The 23,535-nt window shown below is 51.1% G+C and overlaps 1 protein-coding gene across 4 annotated transcripts, besides 2 other annotated features; it reads left to right on the top strand.

Annotated features, from left to right (window-relative positions):
- On the top strand, window positions 1,458–22,991 carry MEOX1 (mesenchyme homeobox 1). Of its 4 annotated transcripts, NM_001040002.2 has the most exons (4): window positions 1,458–1,509; window positions 1,987–2,314; window positions 19,720–19,892; window positions 21,348–22,991. In NM_001040002.2, the coding sequence occupies exons 2-4, from the start codon at window positions 2,191–2,193 to the stop codon at window positions 21,468–21,470; spliced, it is 420 nt and encodes a 139-aa protein (NP_001035091.1). In that variant the 5' UTR covers window positions 1,458–1,509; window positions 1,987–2,190; the 3' UTR covers window positions 21,471–22,991. The 4 variants fall into 4 exon arrangements, with proteins under 4 accessions (NP_001035091.1, NP_004518.1, XP_011523120.1 ...); NM_004527.4 differs by having other exon boundaries at window positions 1,458–2,314; XM_011524818.3 differs by having other exon boundaries at window positions 1,458–2,314; window positions 19,720–19,903.
- Window positions 2,164–2,705: an enhancer, noted in NCBI's record as "H3K4me1 hESC enhancer chr17:41738043-41738584 (GRCh37/hg19 assembly coordinates)". NCBI's record gives its function as "activates a minimal SCP1, AML or CMV promoter by ChIP-STARR-seq in primed H9 embryonic stem cells {active_cell/tissue: H9 hESC(primed)}" and the evidence as "EXISTENCE:reporter gene assay evidence [ECO:0000049][PMID:30033119]".
- Window positions 10,788–11,287: an enhancer, noted in NCBI's record as "H3K4me1 hESC enhancer chr17:41729461-41729960 (GRCh37/hg19 assembly coordinates)". NCBI's record gives its function as "activates a minimal SCP1, AML or CMV promoter by ChIP-STARR-seq in naive H9 embryonic stem cells {active_cell/tissue: H9 hESC(naive)}" and the evidence as "EXISTENCE:reporter gene assay evidence [ECO:0000049][PMID:30033119]".

Here is a 23,535-nt window from a genome sequence, read left to right as displayed (position 1 = left end):
GTCTGGTTGACAGCTATGACCCCATCCACTCTACTGGTCTACAACACTCTGACCGCTTGTTCCAGAAGAGGGCACATCTTTTCATATGTACACCCCTCCCCATCTTTTACAGCTGCTCCTGCTCCCAGGATGTGTATCTGACTGGAGTTTCTGGATTAAAGGCCAGTCGTGGCTTCATTCCACATCCCTGGGTGCCCTTCGGCTCCTCCTAGGAGCATCTCCTGCACCCACCCCCCAGGGCCCCACCTCCAGGCTGCAGAGCTAAGACCTAGGGGCCCCTCCTCAGGGAACCCTCGCCGTCTTTGGAAGCAGCCAGCAGAGACGCTGCTGTTAAGGTCCATGCCTGTTTCTGCCCCCATCCTGCTGCTCTGGGCCATGGGAATAACCAGTGGGGAAGGAGTTCTGGCCCCTGGGTGTTAGGAATGTCGTCCTCCAAGAAATTGCATTAACCCTCTGAGAGACCAGCAGGGCGCAGCCATGAGGAAGACTGGGCATCAAGATGGCACTTGGGCTGGCTGCCCTGTGATGTGCACCAGCCCGGAGACCCACGTGCCTGCTTGCCAAAGAGGCTCCTTTGGGGAATGAGGAGCCCCTGATTCCTATTTCCCTACCCCAAATTCCTCGGAAGCCTCCGCCTCTGGGGGATGAGAAAGGGAAGCAGGTGGGTGGAGGTGAAGGGGGCAGGGAGCAGGTGGGAGGAGACCCGAAGAAACTTCAAGGACCTTATTTAAGAGCCTTGCCATTGCTGTGAAGAAAAATGACTTGAAACCTCTCTAGAGAAGAGTGTGGCTAATTGGCATGTATGTTGGAGGTTAAAGAGCGGAAGGAAGAATCTGATTGTTTTTTTAAGTTACTGAGAAAGTGAGAATGTCACTCTGGGCAGAGAGAAATTCTTTTTTTCTAGAGTGTGCCTTTCTTTGTACTGCAGACCACAGTGGGCCGCTGAGACTTGCAAAAAAGATTTCTTTTAATCCACCTTCCTTTTTCGCAGGCAGCAGTAGAAGGGCCTTTAAATCAAATGCAATCACCAAGCTTGTCTCTTGCTCTTATTCCTCACTTCACTCCCTGGAATTTGGCATTTGATGGATTCTGGATCTGACTTAAGGCTTTTTCTAAATCCAAGACTTGGGGAATTTTGTTAACAGTGCAATAAAAATAACTTCATAGTGTTACAGGAGGCACATTAAAGACGGTGTGTGTGTATGTGTGTGTGTGCTGCTCTCTTTCCTTAAAAAAAAAATACAGACAATGTTTCTTTAAAAGTCTCCATCTGCAAATCCCATTAGATGTGCATATAAGGTTTCTGATGATTAATAGTTGCCTGCTAGGGTTTTGGTTGGAGGGGATCTTGTGTGTGTGGGTTAACCCCTCCCTCTCCTCTCTCACATTTCACTTCAGAAATTTGTCACTCTCTCCCCACCGCAGGATTTAAAAGTGTGTCCCAGCAGCCCTGGTCCAGCCCTCTGCAGGCATTTGCTCTGGGCTCCAGGACGAACTCCTCGTCAGCTGGTGCGTCTGGGTTGGGACAGTGAAAATGTTTAGTGTCATTGGCGACAAATACACATACAGGGGATCCCAGTAGGTAGGCTGGTGCATTGGAGGGGCAGGAGCAAGCCCGACATAGGTGTGTGCACACACATAGGAGTAGCTGGCCACATGTGTGTGTACTTTAAGGAGAGACTTTAGTTTTGGGTTTTTTTTTTTTTTTGGTTCCTGGGGTAAATTTTCTGTTGAACATTTTTCCCTCCTATTTAGTTTTTTTTCTTTTGCATTTTTAAAAATTTGAACATAAAAAGTATAAAGAATCAAATCTTTGAAAGGACCGAGGCGTGCAGCGGACAGCAGATGGATCCCGCGGCCAGCAGCTGCATGAGGAGCCTCCAGCCCCCAGCCCCTGTCTGGGGCTGCCTTCGAAACCCCCACTCGGAAGGCAATGGGGCCTCAGGGCTACCCCACTACCCGCCCACCCCGTTCTCCTTCCACCAGAAACCAGACTTCCTGGCGACAGCGACGGCAGCGTACCCTGACTTCTCAGCCTCCTGCCTGGCAGCCACCCCACACAGCCTGCCCCAGGAGGAGCACATCTTCACTGAGCAGCACCCCGCTTTCCCACAGTCCCCCAACTGGCACTTCCCTGTCTCAGACGCCCGGCGCAGGCCCAACTCAGGCCCGGCAGGGGGTTCCAAGGAAATGGGGACCAGCAGCCTGGGCCTGGTGGACACCACAGGAGGCCCAGGCGATGACTACGGGGTGCTTGGGAGCACTGCCAATGAGACAGAGAAGAAATCATCCAGGCGGAGAAAGGAGAGTTCAGGTAGGTGGCTCAGGAGCAGCTGATCATTCCTTTACTGTGTGACCCTGGGGAAGTTACTCACCCTCTCTGTGCCTAGGTGCTCTGAGCATGAATTTCTGTCTAGTCCATCCAAATGCAGGAGACTGGACCAGTTACCTTTGGGGTTTCTTCCACTGAGAGTTCTAGGATTCTCTGGTGATGGGGACCATGTCTGTGTCCCAGCACTCCTGGGCCCCAGAAAGGGTGTCCAGCAAGAGAATGAAACAGGATCAGCCAGGATTTGGAGGACACGTGAAATGGATCCTCTGGGTGCAGACTGGCGAGGGCTGGTGAGGGGCTTTCCTGAATCAGGCTGCCATTGAGTCATCCTCCTCCCCACCATGCTTTGGCCAGCCCCAAGTGGTCCTAGAGCCACAGGGCTCGCTTACCAGGGAAGTTCAGCTGAGGTTAAGGCTCTGAGAGCTAAGACTGAAGCTGGGACCCTGGGTGGCCACCCAAAGCCAAGACCCTATGTGTCCAGGAGCCTAGAGGCAGAGAAGCAGGCCTGCGGCTGGGATGGGAGAATCAAGGGGTGAGGGGGAGATGGAGGGCTGAGGTTTGGGGCAGACTGCCCACCAGATATCACCCTGCGGAGCTGGGCCATGTCCAGGCCAAGGGGACAGACAACTCAGCATGCTGAGATCTGGCTGACCCCCCAGGAAGGCAGCCCCGCAAGGAGCTGCAAGGGATGGGCAGCCTCTGAGAGAGTCAGGGAGGCAGGCAGCCAAGGGAGTCCGTGCTGGAGTCCCAGAGGCTGGAGGATGAGATTGGCCTATTTGTTAAGATTCCAGCTAAAGCCCTTCTCTTCCCCAGGGTGGGGACCTGCTGCTTCCTCACCTCCCCACCAGGCCCTCCCTGGTTGCTCACTATACCTGTCCACCTTTTGTCTGGTTCCTTGTCCCGGCCTCGTTCAGAACAAAGCAGTGACCAAGCCTCCTGCCCGTGCTGCCCTGTTTTCCTCCTGACAGCCGCCCTCAGGGGCACGCCTGTCTGTCGGAGCCTGTAGAGGACCTTCCCATGGGGCTAACCAGGGCAGGACAGAAAAGAAGGACACCAACCAACAGGTGGGAATGCTTTGTGCTTTGCTTTATAAGCACAGCTTTCCCGAGTTTCTGCTCTTAGCCAAGCCCAGGAATGCTCTGAGATGAATAAAGGGGTCTCACCCAAGAAAGCTCAAACTGAGAGGAAGAAGAGGCCTGCAGAGGTGTGTCAGCAGTGGGATGTGCCCTGATGGGGAGGCTTAAGGTGCCATGGGATACTGACGTCAGCTCTTTTGAGTCCCACGGGTTTGGGAGATGGGGACAGCAGGTTTTATTAGTACCTTGATTCTCTCAATCTGCAAAATGAAAGACTGAAAGTTGGTGAGAACACAGAAAGAATGGGGTCAAACTAGAGTGAGCAGCTCATCTCCATTTGCCCAGGACTTTTCCAGTTTTAGCACTGAAAATCCTGTCGTAGGAAACCCCACAGTCCCAGGCAAACAGAAGAATTGGTCACCCTAGAAGTGAGCTCAAACCCCAGGCTTCAGGCCCCCGGTATCACCCCCTTCAGTAGATTTCAAATGCAGTCCTCATTTTGAAATGATGTTTGGTCTGTCTGCTTGAAGAAGCCCCTTCTTCAATGGGAGATAGGAACTCTAGCAGCCCTCATGGCTGCTAAATAGAAGGGCCCTTTAAACCGCCAGCCAGTTAGATCCCCATCCCGAAAATTAACTCATCCTGCCCCTGGTAGGAAATGTGCTAAGGATGAGAAGCAACTCTCAGCGACTTGGCTCTGAACCTGGTTGAAGAGCTTTCCCCTTGGTGGCGGCACGCAGCACTGTGGCTCCTTCCTCTCTGCCACTTTCCAGAGAACTGACAGCCAAGGGCATTGGGAAGGGATAGCAAAGCCAAGAGCCTGCTGGGCTCAGGCAGAATCTTCCAGCATTCCGAGTCTCAGCAAAACCCAAATGCACCAGCTCTCTTTTTGGCGAGTGGCCGATGGCCCTGCAATGCAGAGAGACCATTCACACTAAGCAGCTGGCCACCCAGGAGTACAGGGACACCCTCGGCTGAACGGCCTGCATGCTTCAGGGTCAGACTTTGGTGGAGGGAGGTTCCCATCCGCAGGGGCCCTGGGCTTCCCTAAGGGTCCCCTCAGGAGCACCAGCAGCAGATGAGGCAGGGCCCAGTGAGCTGACTCTCACTCATCCCCCTGTGATTCCAGACAAACTCACTGTTCAGCATGGAAATCTTTATTGCCGCAATGCTTGCATCCTCCTTTGGAATTTAACTGAAGGGGAGGAAGGAGGCAAGAAAGATCAGCTTTGTAAGAGCCCAAAGAAGGGGGAAAGTGACGCAAGGCTCATGACCTACTCCAGGAATCTGGAATTCAGCTCAGAAAAGGCAAACCCACAGAGAGCCCCCCACCCAACCCTGCCAATCCTGAGTCTATAATTGGATCCCCTCTCCAAAATTGTGATATTTTGTTCATTATCAATTTTTTGCATTACTTTTGATTTTTACAAATATTGCCTTAAAATATTCTTTTTTTTTTTTTTTTGAGATGGAGTCTCACTCTAACGCCCATGCTGGAGTGCAGTGGCATAGTTTCAATTCACTGCAACCTCTGCCCCTTGGGTTCAAGCAATTCTCCTGTCTCAGCCTCCTGAGTAGCTGGGATTATAGGCGCACGCCCCCTCTCCCGGCTAATTTTTGTATTTTTAGTAGAGTCGGGGTTTTACCATGTTGGTCAGGATGGTCTCAAACTCCTGACCTCGTGATCAGCCCACCTCGGCCTCCCAAAGTGCTGGCATGCGCCACCGTGCCCGGCCTTCCTTAAAATATTATTGATCTTGACTACAGAGGGGTTGGGCATGCCCTTGCATTTGGGCCTCCCCAAGTCCAGGCTGAGTGGTCCCTGGAAGGTTAACCAGCATTGATCAGAAACGCGTTTTCCATAGTTCTTCCCAGCCAGACAGACAGGCTGCAGTGTCAGCACGGCAACTTTTGGCTGCATGACTTTGGAAAAGTTCATAACTTCTTCCAGCCTTTGTTTCCCTGGCTGTAAAATGGGCATATAGCAGTAGCCCCTTCCATAGAGAGTCTCTCTGTGAAGGTTAGATGCAGTGATCCATGAGATTAACTCTGTGCCTGGCACATAGTAAGAGTTCAATAAATAGCAGCTGTAAATGGTATTAGGCCCATATTTCCTGAACCAGCCTTCAGAATATAAGGTCTGACAAATATTTCTATATTTATGGGGATGGTGGAATTGAATATTTCAATTATGCTGTCTCAGAAATTCCTGAGTCTAGAGAACTTCTGGCAATCATTTTGTTCCAGTTGTCATCAGGAGCATGGAGCTCAGAGACCTGCCGGAGAGGTTATGGGGTGAGTTGGGCCTGGCAAATGCACCCCATATTGAGTGGCTGAGAAGCCTCCAGAAATGGAAAGTTTATTGTAAGAGGAATGTTCTCTGCGCTTCCTTCCTCCTTTGCCATCTCCTTCAACTGCTCCCCGCTCACTCCCAGTAGAATCTGGAGCTGATCTACTCAAAGAAATTATCAAGAAAGCAAGGGTTGGCCGGGCGCGGTGGCTCATGCCTATAATCCCAGCACTTTGGGAGGCTGAGCCAGGCGGATCACCTGAGGCCAGGAGTTCAAGACTGACCTGGCCAACATGGTGAAACCCTATCTCTACTAAAAATACAAAAAAAAAAAAAAAAAATTAGCCAGGTGTGGTGGCAGGCACCTGTAAATCCCAGCTACTTGGGAAGCTGAGGCAGGAGAATAGCTTGAACTTGGGAGGTGGAGATTGCAGTGAGCAGAGATCACGCCACTGCACTTCATTCAGCCTGGGTGACAGAGCGGGACTACATCAAAAAAAAAAAAAAAAAAGAAAGAAAGAAAGAAAGAGAGAGAGAAAGGAAGAAAGGAAGGAAGGAAGGAGACAGAGAGAAAAAGAGAGAAAGAAAAAGAAAGAAAGAAAAGAAAGAAAGAAGGAAGGAAGGAAAGAAAGAAAGAAAGAAAGAAAGAAAGAAAGAAAGAAAGAAAGAGAAAGAAAGAAAGAAAAAGAAAGAAAGAAAATGAACAAACGGGGAGAAAGAAAGAAAGCAGGGTTCCTGGCCTTTGGCACTTCCCCACCCTGGAGACCAGCATGGTGTTATCTTACCCAAACCACTCCCAGCCCCAGGCCAATGGGGATTAAAGACCCCTGCTGGCAGGGACAGCTGTGAGGCCACTGTTGTTTTCCCCCAAACTGTCCTTGCTACTGTGGTTGTCTTTAATTTATGGGAATGAAGGATTTTGCGGTGGTTTCCTCATGGGGTTCAAGGGAAGGTTGCGTGTGATTAGAGTGGCTACAGGTGAATCCGATCGCCCGCCTGGGAAAGCCATGGTGCTAGAACTCAGCACTGCTCCCTCCTGCTCTCACGTCCTCACTCTGCTGAGACATGCCTTTAATCAGACGTGATTTGTCTCATCCTTCTTCAGCTCCAACACGTGTGTTCCCAGAGCTGTCCTGCCCCAATTTCTCTTTGCAAGACCTGCTCTATGCCTGCCTCCGCCCAACCACAAATTTGCCTAAGGTATAAAACTCCACAAATAGGCCTCTCTCCTCTTTTCCCTCCTGATGCCCCTTTACAGGCCACCTCCCCGCCCCAGGTCCCCTCCACTACCCCTGCCACGAAGCCACACCCAGGGACTGACCTTGCAAACACATCCTGCATTTTCTTCCCCCTCTCTGACTGTGCTCTGGTGGTTTCTCCTTGCCTAGAGCACTCTCCCCTTCCCCGTACTTCTGCCTGTTGAAGTCCTACTTAAAAACCACCCAGCTCAAAAACAACCCCTTCCAAGAATATTTTTGTTCTTCTTTTTCAAAAATTTATAGCTACATTTGCATATAACATAGTATCAAAGAAAGCTACAGTTAAGAAATGTCGAAGTCTAGTATCTGCTAGAATCTGTGTTGATTTTCTCACTTTAGCTTGCAGTTGTTTCATAAAGGAACTCTTCTGAGGTTTCTTACCTGGGACATCTTATATTTGAAATCTCCTTTTTTAAAAATTGGGGTCAAATACACATAACATAAAAGTTACCGTCTTAACAGTTTTTAAGTGATACAGTACAGTAGTTGTGCAATCGATTTCTAGAACTTTTAATCTTGCAAAACCGAAACTCTATCTCCATTAAACAACGACCTTTTTTCCCTTCCCCCACCCCCTAGCAATCACCATTCTTTCTCTTGCTAAACATTTGACTATTTTAGATACCTTACATAAGTGAAATCATGCAATGTTTGTCATTTTTGTGACTGGCTTATGTCACTTGGCATAATGTCCTCAAGTTTCAACCAGGTTGTAGCAAGTGACAGGATTTTCTTCTTTTTTTTTTTTTTTTTTTTTTTTTTAGAAAGACAGGGTCTTGCTATGCTGCCGAGGCAGGTGTTGAACTCAGGGCTTCTAGCAGTCCTCCCACCTTGGCCTCCCAAAGTGCTGGAATTATAGGTGTGAGCCACCATGCCTGGCCTCCTTCTTTCTGAAGACAATAACATTCCATTGTATGGATATACCAAATTTCTTTCTTCTTTTTTTTTTTTTTGAGACGGAGTCTCACTCTGTTGCCAGGCTGGAGTGCAGTGGCGCGATCTCGGCTCACTGCAACCTCCGCCTCCCGTATTCAAGTGATTCTCCTGCCTCAGCCTCCCAAGTAGCTGGGACTACAGGCACACGCCACCACGCCCAGCTAATTTTTGTATTTTTAATAGAGACGGGGTTTCACCATGTTGGCCAGGATAGTCTCAATTTCTTGACCTTGTGATCTGCCTGCCTCAGCCTCCCAAAGTGCTGGGACTACAGGCGTGAGCCACTGTGCCCGGCCACCAAATTTCTTTATCCATTCATCTGTTGATGAACATGTAGGTTGCTTCCACCTCTTGGCAGTTGTGAATAATGCTGCAATGAACATGAGTGTGCAAATACCTCCTGGAGAGTGTATTTTCTTTTTCTTTTTCTTTTTTGAGACGGAGTCTCACTCTGTCACCCAGGCTAGAGTGCAGTGGCGCGATCTCAGCTCACTGCAAGCTCCGCCTCCCGGGTTCATGCCATTCTCCTACCTCAGCCTCCCGAGTAGCTGGGACTACAGGCGCCCACCACCACGTCTGGCTAATTTTTTGTATTTTTAGTAGAGACGGGGTTTCACTGTGTTAGCCAGGATGGTCTCAATCTCCTGACCTCGTGATCCACTGGCCTCAGCCTCCCAAAGCACTGGGATTACAGGTGTGAGTCACTGCACCCGGCTGGAGAGTGTATTTTCAATTCTTTTGAGTGTATACCTAGAAGGGAAATTGCTATATTATGTAGTAATTATATTTTTAATTTTCCAAAAAAATTATTTATTATTAGAATAAAATATAGAGACAGGGGTCTCGCTATGTTGGCCAGATTGGTCTTGAACTCTTGGCCTCAAACAATCCTCCTGCCTCGGCCTTCCAAAGTGCTAGGATTACAGGTGTGAACCACTACACCTGACCATATTTTTAATTTTTCCTTTTTCTTTTTTTTTGAGACAAGAGTCTTGCTGTTGCTCTGGCTAGAGCACAATGGCGTGATCACGGCTCACTGCAATCTCTGCCTCCCAGGTTCAAGTGATTCTCTTGCCTCAGTCTCCCAAGTAGCTGGGATTACAGGCGTGTGCCACCACACCTGGCTAATTTTTGCATTTTTAGTAGACAGGGGTTTTACCATGTTGGCCAGGCTGGTCTCGAACTCCTGACCTCAGGTGATCCGCCCGCCTTGGCCTCCCAAAGTGCTGGGATTACAGGCATGAGCCCCTAATCTCCCCTTCTTATAAGCATATCAGGCAGATTGGATTGGGACCCACCCTAACAGCCTCATTTTAACTTAATCCCTTCTTTAAAGGCCCTATGTCCAAATACAGACACACTCTAAGGTACTGGGGTTAGGGCTTCAACATAGGAATTGGGGAGGGAAGCACAATTCTGCCCTTATAGGGACTGTACAGGACTGTACGGGGACAGGAACAAGGGACAAGGTTCAAACTGTGGCACAGACCCTTCAGTTGAAAACCCCTTTAGTGAAAGCAGCACCCAGATGTGTGCCTGACCCCAGAGCTTTCCTAGCTCAGGGTCCTGTCGGCTGGTAGAGCTTTTCCACTGAGACAGGAAGTTGTTTCTAGCCACAAGCAGATCCCTGATTTCCTATCTTACACCAACAAGTACAGACATAAAAAGTGGAGGCAGTTGGCCGGGTGCGGTGGCTCACGCCTGTAATCCCAGCACTTTGGGAGGCCGAGGTGGGCGGATCATGAGCTCAAGAAATCAAAACCATCCTGGCCAAAATGGTGAAATCCCATTTCTACTAAAAATACAAAAATTAGCTGGGCGTGGTGGCATGCGCCTACAGTCCCAGCTACTCAGGAGGCTGAGGCAGGAGAATCGCTTGAACCTGGGAAGTGGAGGTTGCAGTGAGCTGGATCACACCATTGCACTCCAGCCTGGGTGACAGAGCCAGACTCTGTCTCAAAAAAAAAAAAAAAAAGTGGAGGCAGTTTTAGGAGTGAATCTCTAAAGAAGGGAGCTGTTTGACAGAGGAAAGGAGAAAAGAGGCATGGGCTGGATGCGGTGGCTCACGCCTGTAATCCCAGCTATTTGGGAGGCCAAGGTGGGTGGATCACTTGAGGTCAGGAGTTTGAGACCAGCCTGACCAACATGATGAAACCCTGTCTCTACTAAAAATACAAAAATTAGCTGGGCGTGTTGGCTCACACCTGTAGTCCCAGCTAATCAGGAGGCTGAGGCAGGAAAATCGCTTGAACCAGGGAGGTAGAGGTTGCTGTGAGCCAAGATCGTGCCACTGCACTCCAGCTGGGGAGACAGAGTGAGATTCCGTCTCAAAAAAAAAAAAAAAAGGCAATGGTAGGCTGGGCACGGTGGCTCACACCTGTAATCCCAGCACTTTGGGAGGCTGAGGCTGGTGAATCACGATGTCAGAAGATCGAGACCATCCTGGCTAACACGGTGAAATGCCATCTCTACTAAAAATATAAAAAAATTAGCCAAGCGTGGTGGCAGGCGCCAGTAGTCCCAGCTACTTGGGAGGCTGAGGCAGGAAAATGGCGTGAACCTGGGAGGCACAGCTTGCAGTGAGCCGAGATCACACCACTGCACTCCAGCCTGGGCGACAGAGTGAGACTCCGTCTCAAAAAAAAAAAAAAAAAAAAAAAAGCAATAGTAGAGATGAGAATGAAATAAATGGACAACCCCAATAAGTGTCACCTGGGTCGCCAGAGTGATGCCAAGTCCCATACAAGTGACCTCATGCCCATGCTCACCTTCTTGCTGGGCCACGGTACAGTAATAGGAGGAAGGGTGGTCAGAGACTAAGGTCAAGCGAATTAACAAGGTAGCCCTGGTTCAGGTCCCTGATCCACAACTTCCTGGCTGTGTGGACGTGGGTGAGTCCTAACCCTCCCTGAGTCTCTTCTGAGAAATGAGGGTAACAGTACCTACTTCATAAGGTGGGTAGCTGTGAGACTAAATGATATCAGAGATGTAGAGTCCACAGCCAACACTTGGTAACCCCTGGCTCCAGTTTTCCCAAACCCACATATGAGCACCCCTCTCTCTTTAAAGTCCTCCCCTGATGCTGGCTGGCTGCATCAGGTTTCCCACGTTCAAAAACAGGCCAAAGTGTCCTGAGCTCTGCTGAAGTCTTTGCCCCCTGCTGTCAGCCGGGCCTGCCTGACTCTGACGATGCTACTGGCTTAGGGTTGTGGCAGTGCTGGGTGGGGTGTGGTTTGAGGGGTGCACCGCTGCAGCAGCTCCTCTTGTCCCGAGTCCATGTCCAGAACCCCTAGTGAGGAAGAAGTTTTATGGTCCAGAGTGGCCAGCGTGGGAGGGGAGACAGCAACTCCACACTCAGCCAGTATCCCTCTGGGCATCCCCGGCCTCCTGATTAGAGCTCCTGACCTCCTCTTCTGACAAGCAAAGAAAGCTCAGAGCCCAAAGCAGGACCCAGGCCTCGGCCACCATCTGAACTCAGAGGCTCCAGCACAAATCCCACGCCTGGGCCTGCTCAGGCCCCTGATCAGGTATAGTCGGAAACTCTGGAGAAAGTCCGTTTCTGCTGAGGCAGCAGGATCCTGACCAACATCGAAGAGGGAAAGATCCAATGAGCCCGTGAGCTGTAAGAAGGTCAGCCCAGGGGTCACCTCAGCTCTGCTCCGCCACTCTCCCATGCTAGGGACTCAGGATTCCTGCCCGCTCACCTATTTCTCTGGCTTGAATAAATCACGGGCACTTGGGCCCAGGGAGGGGGGATAACTCAGAGGCAGAGAATCCTTTCTGCCTGAGAGACAGGACTCACAGCCCCTGCAGACCTCCAGAGCTGGCCCTTTTCCCCAACTCCCTCTCTGCCCATAACTTGGGCTTCTCACCCAATTTGGCTCCCTGGCCTCTGGCCAGGACCCACCCCCTTCCTTTTCTTTTCTTTTTTTTTCCCCCTTGTTTTTCTTGCATGCAGAGGTACAGGAACAGCGTGAGCAGTGGGCCTGGGTCTCAAGCCCACACTTCCTTTGGTGACAGCTGAGGGTGACATATGGAACTTATAAACAAAACCCAGAACTACCCATGCCTCTCCCCATCCCCTCTTGAAAGCTGCTGCGCTTCCCCCTCACCAACCCACCCCGCCTGGGACTCTCAGCAAAGACTATAGCACCAGACTTTTTTTTCTGAGACGGAGTCTCACTCTGTCGCCCAGGCTGGAGTGCAGTGGCACGATCTAGGCTTCCTGCAAGCTCGGCCTCCCAGTTTCATGCCATTCTCCTGCCTCAGCCTCCCGAGTAGCTGGGACTACAGGCACCCGCCACCACACCCGGCTAATTTTTTTGTATTTTTAGTGGAGATGGGGTTTCACCATATTAGCCAGGATGGTCTCGATCTCCTGATCTCGTGATCCACCCGCCTCGGCCTCCCAAAGTGCTGGGATTACAGGTGTGAGCCACCGCGCCCAGCCAGCATTACGCATTTTCATTCCAGAAGAACCTGCCTCTCTCCCATGAAATATCCCTTGAATTCCCTGGCCCCAGAGAGGCTGGGAGCCCTGCCGATGTCTCTTTAGGCACCTACAGGAGAGGAAAAGGGCCTGGACACTGGGGTGGGGCAGGGCTCAGTGAGACAGTCAGGCCAACCCCAGGAAGCCAGGGAGATCCTGGATGTGAACATCCAACCAGTCTCGGGCTGGCTCCATCCCAGTCTTGTCTATTTCGACGGGCTTTGACCCCTCCTTCTGAGGCTGAAAGTAGGAGAGCTTACGGGGACATCAAAGTGTCTATGCTGTGACAGTGCAGGAAGCCACAGACACCGTTTTCCGAGGATTTGCCAAGGTTTCACCTACTGATGTCATGCTCCAAATATTCCCTTCTTTTTCCCTCTCTGGGGAGTCCCAGGGAGAGAGATCTGAACCCAGACTCAGACAATGTCCCTAAGATAGGCACAGCCTCCATACTCATCCTCCCCCGAGGGCAGCGTGACATGAGGCTATAGCCCTAGACTGGTCCCAGGGGCCTTGGGCAAGTCATTTAGTCTCTGGATCTTAATTGCTCATATGTTCAACGGGCTAATGTGTACCTTACCTACCTAATGGAATAATTAAGAGGATAAAATAGGAGACAGCCCAATAGGGTGGAAAGAGCTTCCTAACAAGAAAATCTGGGTTCTAGGCCCAATTCTGCCCCTAACTTGCCGTGTGTCCTTACAGGAGTTCCTTACCTTCTCTAAGCTCACCTATAAAATGAAAAGGTGACATTGATCATCTCTAAGTCCCTCCCACCTCTACTTTCTATGATTCTGTAGTATCTGTGAAAGCCTAAAAGAAGTTCTCTTTGGAGGAAAGAAATCCCTTGTCAACTGCACAGTGCTATTTGAATGTGAGGCATTTGGCATCCTGTCTGATTTGGATATTAATTTATGTAAACTGGTGCCCTCAGAGTTGGACTGTAGAGTACAGAACTCCAGAAATGTTCAGACAGGGATGGGTCTGTCTGAACCTCCCTGTAGCTCTGATAAAGCTGTCTGCTCACTTTACGAAGGCCTGCCAAATGTGGCAGCTACATATGAAATAATTTGCCCTGGATGGTGTGGAAGCTCATGGTGGAAACCGCAATCACATGCACACCGTTTGCATTTCTCTGGGCATTTGACTGTTCCCTCACAGCCCTGCTCCAGCAGAGGGTGAGGGCTATGCAGGGGCTGGGGTGGGGCAACTCCTTCCTAATCACAGAGGCAGCCCACTGAGGGCCAGCATCCTCCCTCCGCAGTTCTGGAAGAGGCATCTGCGGCCCCCAAGAGAGAAGCAGCGCAGGAGTGATGTGGATTGCCATGTGACACATCTAGTTGTTGTGCCTGGAATTGTGGAACTCTGAAGGCTGCAGCAATAGTGGCCTAGGCCAGGTGCAGTGGCTCATGCCTGTAATCTCAGCACTTTGGGAGGCCGAGGCAGGTGGATCACCTGAGGTCAGGAGTTCGAGACGAGCCTGGCCAACGTGGAGAAACCCCATCTCTACTAAAAATACAAAAATTAGCCTAGTGTGGCGGCAGGCACCCATAATCCCAGCTACTCCAGAGGCTGAGGCAGGAGAATCGCTTGAACCCAGGAGGCAGAGGTTGCGGTGAGCCGAGATCCCGCCATTGCAGTGACCAATCTCCAGCCTGGGTGACCAAAGTGAGACTCAGCCTCAAAAAAAAAAAAAAAAAAAAAAAAGCTGAAAGGCCAGACATTTAAAAGATAACCCTTTCACACAGGTCTGGAGATGTGGTGCCTTAAGGAGCATAGTGCTCTAACTCTGCCCGTGAGTCATCTCAGATATAATCTCCAATAGAACTCTTTCTGATGGTTCTTGTGAACAGAGCTTCAGTGACATGCCAGGCACTGTGCTAGGTGTTAACGCCCGCTATCCAGCTCCTGTTACTTCTCAGCCTGATAAGCACAGCGGGTGTAGCTATTCCTGCTTTGCAAATGAGGAAATTGAAGCTCCAAGAACCTAAAGGACTTGCCCAAGATCCAAAAGCTCTTCCTCGGTGCCTCACTCACCTATGAGTGCTAAGGCCCAGGTTCACCAACAGGTCCTCCGACACGTCTGCATATATAACTTCCCTCCACACAGCTCAAGGCAGGGAGAGAGAAACGGCCCAGCAGAGCCCTGATCATTGAGCTGTGGGAAGGCTGGGGAGGGCTTTGGAACAGAGCACACAGCAAGACCTCAGATCTGACTGAAGGGAGGAACTAGGAGCTGAGACAAGAATACGTGAAGTTGGAAGAGCCTCAGACTTCATCAAGGCTAAGGGTTCTCAATGGAAGAGAGAGTAGGGAGTGTAGGGCATCAAGGCTTATGTTCCAGGAAGGAATTCTGACACCAGCTCCCTGGCAGAAACAGAATCCGGTCCAATCCCATACTTCTACACATGGGGAAACTGAGGCCCACAGAGGAGAGGAAGCCTCCCTAACAAAGTTGTACTATCCTGGGAACAGACCATCTTGGGAAGCATGAGTTAGTTTCTTTTTCTTTTCTTTTTTTTTTTTTTTTTGAGACAGAGTCTTTCTCTGTTGCCCAGGCTGGAGTGCAGTGGTACTCGTGGCTCACTGCAAGCTCCGCCTCCCAGGTTCATGCCATTCTCCTGCCTCAGCCTTCCCAGTAGCTGGGACTACAGGCGCCCGCCACCACGCCTGGCTAATTTTTTGTATTTTTAGTAGAGACGGGGTTTCACCATGTTAGCCAGGATGGTCTCGATCTCCTGACCTTATGATCCGCCCGCCTCGGCCTCCCAAAGTGCTGGGATTACAGGCCTGAGCCACCTGCGCCCCACCCAGCATGAGTTACTTTCATGTGGCAGGGTGCACAGGAACTGTGCCCATGAGCAGGGTGACCGAACAGCTCCCAGAAACGGCATGCAAGTGCTCATAGTGTTTCCATCTTGCTGAATATATTGCAATTTGTAATACTGTTGCAGAACAAAGAGAGCGTAACTTCCACTTCAACTTTCATAGCTTGCTTCCCATACTTCTGGTCCCTTCATCATTTCCAACAGTGGTGAACGTTGATCCCACTCTGGGAAGTTGACAAGGGACAACCGCCCTCCCAGAGCCAATATCCATCCCACCCACCATTAGTAGGTATTGCCCCCAGGTTCACACAGGGAGTTAGCTGAGACCGTCAGTTCCCAACCCAGACTTCTTCTTCCTGTTTCCTCTGCTGGAAATCGGCACTGGAACCCCAGAGGCTAAATCAGGGCAATAAGAGACAGGAGAGGAGAGGTGGCCAGGGATGGGGCATAGCTTGGCTGGCAGTAGTCAGCTGCCCTATTTGCAGAACTGGGGTGGGGGAAGTTATTTGGGGGACATCATGGGGCACCTGTGCACACCTAAGCAGGTCTTGGAGGAGGGTAGATGTGGGTAGCAAACAGGGTGGTGACCCCAGGACCTCTGGAAGGGGTGACAAGCCCAGCTGCCATGGTCCAGCTCCAGGCCCCAACCTGAGCCAGCCAGCCAGGAGATATGGAGAGCCTTGGCTCTAATCAGATGGATCTGGGTTCAAATCTCCCTTCTGTCACCTAAAAGCTGTCAGGCACACTGGGCAATTTCCTGGGCCTGTCTGAGGCTGGCTCTTCTGTATAACAGGATTATTTAGCAAATACTTAGCAAGTACTTTTTCCTCTTCTCTCTAGGAGAATTATGTGCAGAACTGGTTGGGGGCGCGGTAGGGGTCAGTTGTGCCAGGTACAGAAGCAACTATGGCTAGATGCTAGGGTGAGAAAAAGTGTTTCCCTGGGGAGACAGCTATTAATCAAATTATCACACAAACCCATGTTAAGAGTGCTAAAGGGGGTAAGAACAGTATCCACTCATAGGCCGCTGTGTGGTGAGGTTAAAGCCGCAGATGCCTCTGGGCACACACAGAAACCTTCAAGAAGTGCATCTGTTTCTATCCCAGCCCTTCAATGGCATCTCGTGGAGCTGATAAATTGGAGAATATATTTGTCCAGCACTTTTAGATTTTTCTTTTTTTTGAGACGGAGTTTTGCTCTCGTTGCCCAGGCTGGAGAGCAATGGCGCAATCTCGGCTCACCGCAACCTCCGCCTCCCAGGTTCAAACGATTCTCCTGCCTCAGCCTCCCGAGTAGCTGGGATTACAGGCATGAGCCACCACGCCCAGCTAATTTTTTGTTGTTGTTTGTATTTTTAGTAGAGACGGTGTTTCTCCATGTTGGTCAGGCTGGTCGCGAACTCCCGATCTCAGGTGATCCGCCCGCCTCAGCTTCCCAAAGTGCTGGGATTACAGGCGTGAGCCACCTTGCCTGGCCACTTTTAGATTTTAATAGCATGTTGCACACACATATTAACTCGTTCGGTCTTCCAATAACCCTAGGAGGTAGGTGAAATTTCCTCAATTTCTTGATGAGGAGACTGACGCCCAGAGAGGCTAAGTGACTTCCTCAAAGTCTCCAGCATGGAGATTCAGGATTCAAGCCTCTGCGGTCCTCTGGGCTATCCACTCCCCGCAACCGTGGAAAGGAAGGGCTGGGAAACACTAAGCCTCGGGACGGGAGAAGATTGGGAAACCAGTCCCCGACCGCGCCCGTCGTCTAAGCCCGGGTTTCCTGCCTCTCTCCGGGCCCGTGGGCCGGGCTGTGCTCCGGGAAGCCCGTCATCCGCTCGTGACCGACCCTCCCCGGCCCGCTGCCAGGAGGGGGCGCGGCGCTGGCGGCGGCCAAGGCCGGAGGGCTCCTCGGGGACCCCGGCCCGGGGCTGCGCGTCCTTCCCTGCTGCCCACGCTCCCGCTTCCGGAGGGGTCTGGACCTGCCTTCTCCGGCCTGGAGCCAGAGGCCGCCGGGCAGGCAGCCCGCGCCAGGAACTCGGCCCCCTGCCCTGCTCCCCGGGCGCGCCCCGCGGGCGGCCAACCCGGATCGGACGCGGACCCCCGGGCCAGGGTGCCACGACACCCCTGACCCGGGCACCGGGACTATCGGGCCCCTCCCCCGCCTTCTCGAGTTCCCGGAACGGTGGCACCCACTCCCCTTCCATCCCCCGGCGGAGGCCACGGACGCGCAGCGCGAGGTGGGCCAGGCGCCCAAATCACTTTACCGTGCGCCTCCTGCTAGAGAGTCGCCCAGCCCAAGGCAGTGGGGCGCGGAGGCGGAGGACGGGGAAACTGAAATACAAAGGGATTGAGTGGAAAGCAATAGAGGGGGGTGCTGGGAGGGGAACCAGCTAGGCTCAAAGCTCCAAAGTGGATCGCCGGGTTAATGTGGGGTTCCTGCCTCGCCACCCACTCCCAATGCGGCTGCTTAGCCGACTGCATAGGCGGCTTCTCTGCTTTACACTAGGGGGTCTGAATTCCCCAGCCCAGTCCCCCAGGTAGCTTAGACCCGGCCTCTGAAAACAGAAGATCCCTCCTTCCAACACTCCTCGCCGGCAAGGCAGAGATGGGTCTTTCAGGGAGCAGGACGTTGGGCCGCAGGTTTCGGTAAAGCACCTCACTCGGAGCCACAGCCTCCATGTCTATAAAATGAGGAAAATGGACCGGGCGCAGTGGCTCACGCCTGTAATCCCAGCACTTTGGGAGGCCAAGGCGGGCAGATCACGAGGTCAGGAGATCGAGATCATCCTGGCTATCACAGTGAAACGTCGTCTCTACTAAAAATACAAAAAAATTTGCCGGGCGTGGTGGCGGGCGCCTGTAGTCCCAGCTACTCGGGAGGCGGAGGCAGGAGAATGGTGTGAACCCGGGAGGCGGAGCTTGCAGTGAGCCGAGATCGCACCACTGCACTCTAGCCTTGGCGACAGAGCGAGACTCCATCTCAAAAAAAAAAAAAAAAAAAAAAAGATAATTAATGAAGCAAACGTCTTTTAAATGTTAGAGCCCCGGGCTCCTGCAGCCATTCCCTGGCCACGTGGCATGCATTGCGAGTTAATTGTGTAAGTGTGTGGTCTTCTTCCCACCTCCTCTCCACCCACCACCTCCATTCATTAAAGTGAAGGTAGAGCTGCCTCCCACCCGTCTGCTCAAGAGATAACCATTCAGCCCCTTTTATTTGTTCAGGACTTTACCGTTTGTAAGCCCTTCCTAAATTTTTTTTTCAAGACGTAGTCTTGCTCTGTCGCCCAGGCTGGAGTGCAATGGCGTGATCTCCGCTCACTGTAGCCTCCGCCTCCTGGGTTCAAGCGATTCTCCTGCCTCAGCCTCCCAAGTAGTTGGGATTACAGGGGCGTGCCACCGCGCCCAGCTAATTTTTTGTATTTTTAGTAGAGACGGGGGTTTCGCCATGTTGGCCAGGCTGGTCTCGAGCTCCTGACCTCGTGATCCGCCCGCCTTGGCCTCCCAAAGTGCTGGGATGAGCCACCGCGCCTGGCCCCTACATACTTTTCATTTGAACAGTATGTGTGTGTCAAATCGCCTGAATTTAATTCTTGTCTCCCACACCCCCTGGCTGAATAAACTTGGGCAATTTGCTTAACTTCTCTGTGTTCGTTTTCTGGTCCATAAAGTGATACTAATACTAGAACCACTTGGTTGGGCTATTGAGGAATAAGAGGCTAATATATGTCAGGTACAGCACCTGGCACAGAGTGTGTCCCCTGACCCTGTTGGCAGTTATGACTGAGCCCCGCTGAATCTAACATGCAGCCTGCTTCAGAGGGCTCCAGATGGCTTTCCAGACTTGGCCCTCTGGGGCAGATTCTGATTCCGTAGGTAGGTCTGGGGCAGGCCTGAGATCCTTCAGGTCTGAACAGCTCCCTGGTGCTACTGATGCTGCTGGCACCCAGGCACTCCTTTGAGTGGTGAGGTCTTAGAGCAGCGGACTTGACTGTGCACCAGACGCATCTGGAGGGTTTGTAAAAATAGATTGCTGAGTGCCATCCCCAGAGTTTCTGACTTAGTAGGTCTGGAATGAGGCTAGGATTTGCATTTGTAACAAGCTCTCAGGTAATGCTGATGCTGCTGATCTGGGGACCATAGTTTGAGGCTTTGTTTTAGAGCATCTCACCCCTCAAGCTTATGGCCACCAGTAATGTCATGCTGGGGGGTGGGCTGGGGAGTAGAGGTCATTAAACAGCCAAGAGTAGCTTCTTATGCTTTGGGAATAAAAGAAAGTTTGGGGTGGGGGGAGGGTGGGAGGCAGGTACCTGAGATTGGAAACCAAAAATAAAAAATCTTCCCAATTCTAATATGGGTAAGACACCAGAAGGAATAAAAAGGACAGTGTAGCTTTTTTCTCAGCATCCTGTAAAAATAAGGGAGACTGGTAAAGACTGCCTAGTTGCTCAAGGGCAAAAGAAAGGGAATGGAGTCTCCCTCAGCCCATGTCTTCCTGTTTGGGGTCCTCTCTCCCCAGACAACCAGGAGAACAGAGGGAAGCCGGAGGGCAGCAGCAAAGCCCGCAAGGAGAGGACGGCCTTCACCAAGGAGCAGCTGCGAGAGCTGGAGGCAGAGTTTGCCCATCATAACTACCTGACTCGGCTCCGCAGATATGAGATTGCGGTAAACCTGGACCTCTCTGAGCGCCAGGTGCGCCCCCGGTGGGCCCCTCCTCTTCTTTGCTCTCTCATCTCCCTCCCTTCCCTCCTTTCCCACCACCCCTCCCTGGACCTTCTCCTTTTTCTTCCTCCAGCCAGTCCAGCGGTTTTCAACTGTGGCCACACCTGAGAATAGCCTGGGGAGTTTTGGGTTTTTTTGTTTTTTGTTTTTTGAGACGGAGTCTCGTTCTGTCGCCCAGGCTGGAGTGCAGTGGCGCGATCTTACTGTAACCTCCACCTCCTGGGTTCAAGCAATTCTCCTGCCTTAGCCTCCCAAGTAGCTGGGCTACTGGCGTGCGCCACCACGCCCGGCTAATTTTTGTTTTTTTTTTTAGTAGAGGCGGGGTTTCACCATGTTGGCCAGGATGGTCTCAAACTCCTGACCTCAGGTGATCCGCCCGCCTCGGCCTCCCAAAGTGCTGGGATTACAGGCGTGAGCCACTGCGCCCGGCCCCTGGGGAGATTTTAATAGTGCTGATGTCTGGGCTCCACCCCTAGGGATGATTTTAATTGGCCTAGGATGGGATACAGGCCTCAGAATTTTTCAAAGGCCCCCTAGGTGATTCTCACATGCAGCTAGGTTGGGACCTACGGTCTGGCTATTCCCAAATTTGAGTATATGTTGGAATCCCCCAAGGCACTTGTTCAAAATGTGGATTCTGGAGGTCCGGAGAGAGATTTTACCATAATGAGTGGGCCTGAGAATCTGTATTTCTAGTACATTCTCCAGGTGATCTGGATATGCAGCTGGTTCCTGGGCACACTTTGAGAAAAACTTCCCTGGCCCTTTGTTTTGGACTTTCCCTTCAGCCACCCCACACCCCCACACCCATGCTCTGATACGGAATAATAGTAATAATAACCGTAATATTTGATAGCAGATTTCAGTTGACAGAGCACTCTGCCAGAGGGCTGGATATTGAATCAGAAGACTTAGATTCAAATCCTGCCTCTATCACTTTTCCTAGCCCTGGGACCTCTGGGTCTCCATCTGTAAAATGGGATCATAATCCTGCAGGTAATACTCAAGCTCAGATGAGAAAATGTGCTTACCAGAGCTATCTAAACCAAAAAGTGCTCTATAAATGTGCCTAAGGATAAGGCTGATGACCTCTGCTCCCAGACCCTTGGGGAATGGAGGTAGGGGGCAGGGGGACCTGGCACAGGCAGGGCAGGGCATGTGAAGGGGGTGGGGCCAATGCAGAGTGCTTTTAGAACATGTTCCCCCGTCTGGGGCTTTATCCGAAGCCACAAGACAGACCTCTGGGCAGATTGGTATGTCCTCTCTTCGGTCCTAGTTCCTGGGGCCTTTGAGGGAGTAGGGAGTGGTAAGTGATGGTTTCAAGCTGGGGTCCCTGGAGTTACACCCTGGCTAGCCTAAGCATTGACATGGGGAGGAGGTCACACCGGCCCTGGAGTGACCAGGCTCCTTTGCTTCCTCCCCCAGGTCAAAGTGTGGTTCCAGAACCGAAGGATGAAGTGGAAGCGTGTGAAGGGAGGTCAGCCCATCTCCCCCAATGGGCAGGACCCTGAGGATGGGGACTCCACAGCCTCTCCAAGTTCAGAGTGAGATTCTGCATGGAGGAAAAATGACTAAGGACTGAGCCCCCTACCCAACTACCCCCACCCCAATCCCACCTTCACCCTCTTCCTTCCCCAGCCAGGGCAGCCTCTCCACATCTTTCCCTGACTCTTGGATATGAAACTGCCCAGCATTCCTGGGAGTCTTAGGATTTTCTAGGAAGTTCTGTCCAGCCTCTTAGCAGCCTCTTCCCTAGGGCCTTTGCTCCCACACTCTCATGGAATCAGACAGAGATCCTACCGGGCCGGATGAATCTGGAAACAGCTTCAGAGATACTGCTTCTCAGCGTCTCTTGGCTGCCACCCATGCCTCCTCCTACCGCTGTTCTCCTAGGTCAGCCAGGCCTCCTCCTGGTCTGGACACCACCTGGCCTGGTGGGAGAGGAGCTTTGGAACCAGCTGGCGACTCGGAAAGTAAATGCTTCAAAAGGAAGGAAATGACAGAGACACACGCCCTTGCCCACCTTCCTCTGTAGGCTGCACATCTGAGGCTTTGGGGCCCCTTAGTTGTCCCGAAACCCCAAGAAAAATCAGAATGAGGAGAGTCAAGGACAGCAACTCAGCTGCTGCAAGCCAGAAACACATCCCTGTCTCCAAATTTGTTGGCTAAGTGGAGACACTTCTGAGAACTGACTAGAGAAGACAGAAAAATAGCCCGATGTAGGTTTCGGTGTCCCCATATAGGCCCGTCCACACAGGCTTGACTGGGTGGACAAGAATGAACCCATGACAGCACCTGCTGCTTCAAAATCAAAATCAATTTAGGGATACAGCAGGGGCTGTTGGGCTGTGCTCCAGAGAAAAGGAGCAGCTACTCCTTTTAAATCCACGATTTCTGGATTGAAAACCTGTCCAGATGCTGAGTTGTTGGGCTGAACAACTAGGAGCTGAAAACAACGTAGAGGCTGGAAAGTGTCCCCTGCATTCTGGAGGGGAGGGGAGATAATAAGGAGGGCTGCTGGGTGAGGGCCTGGAGATGTGGAACCCTGGAGTGGAAGGTTCTCCAGTGACAGTGTCCTGTGACTGCAAAAGGGGACAAGAAAATCCCTCTTCCTCCATGGGATGGATTTAAGCTCTTGCTGTGTGTTCTACAAATGCTGTTATTGTGGGAGGAAATGCTAGGTTTTTGTGTGTGGACTGCCCAGACCTCAGCCAGGTCTTCTGGAGATGACATTTGAGGACTGATGGCCAAAGAGCATGGGGGACTGAAGCCCTGGCTGCCTCAGCGCTCTGTCTCCCAACACCAGCTGGTGTTGCAGAGGGAGGTCAACGTGAGTTTGGATCTCTTGTACGCAGATGTAATCATTCACATGTAAAAATAACCCCACCTCCCCACCCCAAAAAGGGCAAGAGCTGTGGAAAATGATTGCCAAATGAGATGGCTGGTTAGAGCATGATTTTTTCTAAAGCATACTTCATATATTTTCTTAAGATTACATCAAGCTAATTGTGCGAGCTCAATTCACTTTGTAAGAAAACTCTCGGAGAAATAAAATCAATAAAAAGCAAAGTTCCCAGGCCTTTTTCTTTGCAGAGCGAACAACCACAGCTCTTGTGTGCAACCTTCTGATTGACCAGACAATGTCTAGAAGCAAGAGAAAAAGGGAAGAAATGATCTAGACAGAGCTGTCCCCCTTTAGTTTTTCAAAAGGTGGGTACAAAATATAATTGGTGCCAAAAAAAAATTTTTCTCCAATGCAAATGCATGGTCTTCATTTCTCATTGTAAAAGTTTAGCTTTCAGTTTCCCTAAACTATGACCTATCAAATAGTCAATGTTTTATAAACAAAAGATGAACTCTTTTGTTAATAAAGGAATCTTGACCACAAAGTAACCATCCCTAATGTTTAAATTCAAAGTTTGGAGATTTTATTTTTCAAGGTAGAAAAATGTATATTAATAGTAGTAAAAAATGACATAAGAAAAAATATCCCATATTTTGTCTTTTTTTTTTTTTTTTTTTTGAGACAGAGTTTCGCTCTTGTTGCCCAGGCTGGAGAGCAATGTCTTGGCTCACTGCAACCTCCACCTCTTGGGTTCTCCTGCCTCAGCCT

This window comes from Homo sapiens, chromosome 17 (genome assembly GCF_000001405.40).
Source record: "Homo sapiens chromosome 17, GRCh38.p14 Primary Assembly".
In the NCBI taxonomy this organism is placed as follows: domain Eukaryota; kingdom Metazoa; phylum Chordata; class Mammalia; order Primates; family Hominidae; genus Homo; species Homo sapiens.
The sequence above is the reverse complement of the archived record's forward strand: the minus strand, read 5'-3'. Positions and strand labels throughout refer to the sequence as shown.